Source organism: Homo sapiens, chromosome 1, assembly GCF_000001405.40.
Source record: "Homo sapiens chromosome 1, GRCh38.p14 Primary Assembly".
NCBI classification, from domain to species: domain Eukaryota; kingdom Metazoa; phylum Chordata; class Mammalia; order Primates; family Hominidae; genus Homo; species Homo sapiens.
The window spans coordinates 75,087,367-75,092,823 of record NC_000001.11 but is presented as its reverse complement, the minus strand read 5'-3'; the positions used below and the strand labels follow the sequence as shown (position 1 = coordinate 75,092,823).

The 5,457-nt window shown below is 36.0% G+C and overlaps 1 annotated feature.

Annotated features, from left to right (window-relative positions):
- Positions 485 to 779: an enhancer, noted in NCBI's record as "tiled region #8849; HepG2 Activating non-DNase unmatched - State 3:PromF". NCBI's record gives its function as "activates a minimal TATA promoter and a strong SV40 promoter by Sharpr-MPRA in HepG2 cells {active_cell/tissue: HepG2}" and the evidence as "EXISTENCE:reporter gene assay evidence [ECO:0000049][PMID:27701403]".

The window sequence follows — 5,457 nt, the reverse complement described above, 5'->3', positions numbered from 1 at the left end:
TTGGATATCTCTGATGTTGAGTGATTCTAGTTTTTTACAGTTTTAAAAAATTTTAAGTCAAAATGTAACATTTTGTAATCCATGTCTTTCTGCTTTTAGAGTAACAAATAATCTACTCCTGCTTCTACCTAACAGTCCTTCAAATATCTACTTTCATTTTGTCTTCTTTATATCATGTATACCAAGATCTAGGCTATTCACAGTATTCACTGTTACTGTCTACAAGAAGTAGACAGTACTGTCACTGTTACCATCTACGACTTCAATTTGCCTCATTGTCCTAATGTAAAAATTATATAGGCAGGAGACAGACAAAGGCCTAGGCAGATAGGGAATGCCCCCACCCCCCCGCCGCCCCACAGTGAAACCTCATCTTCAAGCCTAAAACAGCCTGAAGGCTGAAAGACCGGATTGCTGGTCCAGGATGAAACCTGAAACCCAGAGGGAGAACTTCTGCTGCCCAGTCTTTCCTGATTGATTCTTTCTGAATAATGCCTTTTAACCAATAGAATGTTGCCTTTTCTGATACTACCTATGGCTTGCCTGGGCATGCCCACTTACACACTGGGGGAATGGGGTGGAGCCAGCAGGATTTCTTGCCTTATGCAAGGGAGGAGCCTGGCCTCTTCAGCTCAGGTGTGCTGGACCTGGTGTTCAATTTGTGAGGTGGAAGTCTGCATGCAGGACCCCTCTGTTTGCTGAGAACTTTCCTTTTGCTTAATAAATTCTGCCCTCCTCATCCTTCCACGTGTCTGCGTGCCTAATTTTTTCCTGGTCGTAAGAAAAGAACCTGGACTTAGCTGAACTGAAGAGCAAAAATCCTGAATCAAAAGCATTCTCAGAACATGACTAGGAAATATACATTGATCTGATGGAATTTGAATTTACTACTAGACTGTAAACTCCATGAAGACAGGGGCTATGTATTTTTTTTTCTCAGCATTGTATTCTTAGTACCTGGCAAAATCCTAGCACCCTATAAATATTCGTTGAATGAATGAGTGAATGTATGAATGAGTATGGTTCAACTCAGCATGCAAGTCTTTTTGCTAGACGCTGGATTTGTTCCTTTCTTAGCGTTTCAAAGTTATGATTACCACTGGGAAATAATACTTTGTAGTTTTTAAAGTTAATGCCAATATTTCAAAATATTTTGCAAACAGTTAGTGAATCAGTCCTGTATCATTAGACAATGACTGCCTTTTATTGAACTAGCACCACCCTAATGCCCTAAAGGCATTTTTAAAACCATGTAAAGGAAAAGCATATTACATCCAGGGAAAAGAAGCAAAAATAATTGTGTGAACTGAGAAAAGACCACAAGATAAGGATAGCCTGCTTATTCTTATAATAGTCAACAATAGGATTTTGTAATTTTTTTTGAATAAACAGAGAAAATAAACCAAAATCCTTCCTTTTTTTTTTTTTTTTTTTTTCATTTGGTAATCATTGGATTTAGATCTGGCTCAGGATGAGGACTCCTTACTGCATCATTTATACACTTTCTGAGATTGACTAAACCTGTTTGTTTGAAGTATAGATTCAGCCTTTAAAAAAAAATATTAAGCTTGCAGTAATTGACAGAATCATTGTCAAAGGTGAAGGATTTACTTTACATTAAAGCTATTTATTGTAATTAGCTGGGGTGATCTTAGCTATCATGTCAATTCTAAGTAGTATCTACTCACTTGCTCCAGTCACTCAAGATATATTATTAAAGCTGCCAAAATACTGGCATTAGAAAACCCCAATTCGATTATTTGATTGCAACCCAATTAACCATGTTATAGACTGTACATTGGTGCAAAGTGAGGAGTCCCTAAAAATTGAAAGTAAGACTACTTTCTAAATGTAAGGCAAGTAAGAATCATCAGGTTTTAGATGATATTAACCATGTGTGGAAACTTAATATGTGTGTGAGGTTGTGCATGGCTCATATAAATTACTATTTCAAACTCAATTTGCTTAGATTCCTTGCTAACAATGCTACTTTCTGATAAATAAATCAGCCCTCTGAGCATTTTGATCTGAAGAAAGGGATTCCCTGAATAACAGACAGACCCATTCCCGTGATCACTGAAGAAAACCATATTCCTCATTGTAAATGAACATGTTGCTTTATGAATCAGAACTCTGATGAGTTTAGCTAGCCTAAATCAGTCTTCAGGAGCTTATTCAATTCTGGGTACACTGAAAACAACAAAAAACAATAACTTCCCTGGGCATAAAGATATAGCTATGATATTATTAGCCCTCTTTAAATCTGTGTGGACAGCTAGCACTTCTTTTTATCCATAATCTCTCATTGAAATTTATTCTAAACATTTAAAAGCATTACACTATAGTTGTCAATATAGTAAGCTGATGTTCACGTCACCATTATTTGATGAAATTCTAATTTAGGCACATAATTTTGGCAATTTGCAAAGTACCAATTGCTTCAGCTTATTATATTTCTCTGAGATACAAGCCAAATTTGACAAAGGAGAAAGGGCTGACTTGTCAAATATTTTATTTGTCTAGTAATTTGGCACTATCAGTTCAACTACAACTATGTAACAAAGCAGTTTATGGTATCTAAAGAAAATATTTCAGAATTGCACAAAATTAGTTCAGAATGTTTATAGGAGGTTCACCATATAAAGGTGAAACATGTTCCTTAAGAGTTGTCATTGAATTTGGACTTAGATTTAGAATAAAAAATTCTGGTGTCTTAAGTAAGGAATCTTTCCAGTTTCAAGAGAGTTCCTAAAAGTATTGTAATCTATTTACAGAACCATGAAAAATGAGAACAATATGAATATTTATTCGGATAATATAATAACAGTAAAATACAATATGTGGGTGTAGCAGGCAAAAAAGGGCACCTCAAAAGATATATTTACTTCCTAATCCCAAGAGCCTGGGAATATTACATAATAGAGCCAAAGATGCAATTACATTCAAGATCTTGAGAGAAGGAATTTATCCAGAATTGTTTGGTGGGCCCTAAATGTAATCACATATTATTATAAGGGTGAGACAGAGGGAAATTAGACATGTGGAAGAGAAGATGCACTGAAGACAAGACCATGTAAAGGCAGAGCAGATAGAGATATGGCCACAAGTCGAGGAAGGCCAACGGCCACCAGAAGCTGGAGGAGGCAAGGAATGGATTCTTTCAAGAGCTTCTGGAGACAGTGTGATCCTCTGACACCTTGATATTGGACTCCTGACCTCCAGAACTCTAAGAGAATAAATTTCTGTTGTTTTAAGCCATCAAGTTTGTGATAATTTGTTATAGCAGCCACAGGTAACTAATACAGTTGAGTATAGGCTTACAGAAGTTTTGTTTCCCTCGTAACTTAAAAATCATGCTACTTCTTTTAATATTGGGTTACAAGTAGAAAGTACACAGTTGTACCTTGATGAAATGCATTGCAAGTTTACAAAATATTTTGCCCATCAAAATGTTCTTTATTTTTAATAAAATTATGATATACTCCTGGCATCAAAAACATTTGGCTAGATTGTTAGGGGGTCAGGATGATTAAAAGTTAGGTTGTAGTTTAATTTATGTTTGTCATGATTTTTAAAAATAAATGAATAAAAACAGTAACAACACATAATGCTCATTTTTCTTTTTTCTCTGACTTTGCAGGTTTAACAGTGCACATTCTACAGCCAAAGAAAGGAGCACTTCTCTCAGATTCTATGCTTGAGTTTTGCATTTATTGATACTACTTGTGGAGAATTATTTATTTCCTTTCTCTCCCCTCACCTCTCAAATGCTTACTTTGTGGCTCTTATGTGTCATGGGTTGTTCAAAATGCTGGGACCATATCATAAAGCTGATATGCTCCTTATCTACAGGGTCACCACTAACCCATTAGTGCCTTTGCACAAATTAGTAAAGGTACCTCCATTCAGCAGTCACATCCTAAGGGTATGGGTTTTGTCCAACTATGTAAAGCCCAGATTTTAGCCACACTTGCTCCCTTGGCTTAGTACTTTTGTGCAGAACGCAACCTGCACAGCTATAGGCAGAAGCCCTGCATAGTCTCAAGAAGATTATTATGCAGCCAAGGCAGATGCTTTTTCAGTTAGTATCTCTAGCACCTTTTTCTTTGAAAAAGAGACAAAAATTGTTTCCAGGTTAGATTAGTCTTCCCTTTATCTGCTCCGGATATGTTCCAAGACTCCCAGTGGATGCCTGAAACCATCAATAACACTGAACTGTATGTATACTATGATTTTTTTCTTGCACATACTGCTGATAAGGTTTCATTTAGAAATTAGGCACAGTAAGAGATTAACAACAATACCTAATAATAAAATAGAACAATTATAATAATATGCTGTAACAAAAGTTATGTGAATAAGATCTCCTTTTTTCTATCTCTCTCTCTCTCAAAATACTGTAAGATTTTTGGATGGCAGTTGACTACAGGTAACTGAAACCACAGAAAGTGAAATGATAGATAAGAGAGAACTTCTCTTCTGAATAGAGCAGGCTCCATTTCTGAAGAAGGTTGTGTACACCAGGGAATAGAGAAGCTGAGAAGGTGAATATTGAAACTTTCCACTGTTGTGTGCTTTCTGCCGTAGAAGTTGATGAATTTATCTTGACAAATTTTTGTGAACCTCATTCTTGCCTCACAGGCCAGAGAATTTGTACTATTCTGTGTTTTTCAGGAGATGGAGTGCTGAAGAACAAGCCTTGTATACATTGGGTATGAAACCAACTACTGTGATACTTGGGAATATTTTGTGGGCTGTGGGCTGCTAAGATTTGTAGAGAGGTGCTAATAGACTGTGAGAAACTATTTGGAAAGATGATATAGCAAATGAAAAATATTATAAGAATACATTTATCCAGAGCTGAAACACACATGTGTTTAGTGAAAATGCCATTTTTTCTGGGACAGTTCAGAATGGTCACATGACAAAGATGGAGAAAGTTCTTAAATTCTTAGTATATTTTGTTGTCTTTTCACCTGCATCAGAAATACATGTGGATAAATTCTTCATCTGTCTTCCCAAAGTGAAGATATATTTGTATTGTTTGAAAAAAGAAATTATTACTCATTGTAAAGTTGAGAAGGTTGTGGGACTTGGGCTGTGTGTGTATAGTTGTGCAATAAATAGGCATGTTTTACTTTAGAAAAGATAGTAAGAGATGAACATTTCCTCATATTACCCTATTATAGCATAGGGATTTAGGGACAGAAAAATAACTGATAAGCGATTTGTTTAAATCAGCAGAAAAATGCCTGAATCAGTAATCCAGCTTGCCAAATGGAGGCTGACATATAAAAAAGATTTGCATTTTAGAGGTTGGGGTTGAGTGGGAATGTAGGAAAAGATGTAAAGGGAGATAAAGTAACCAACAAGAGGTTACAAATAGTTAGAAGGCAGCCAAGAAAAAAAGACAGAGCCAAGATCTGGAAGATTCATTCCATCCTAAAATAAGAATCT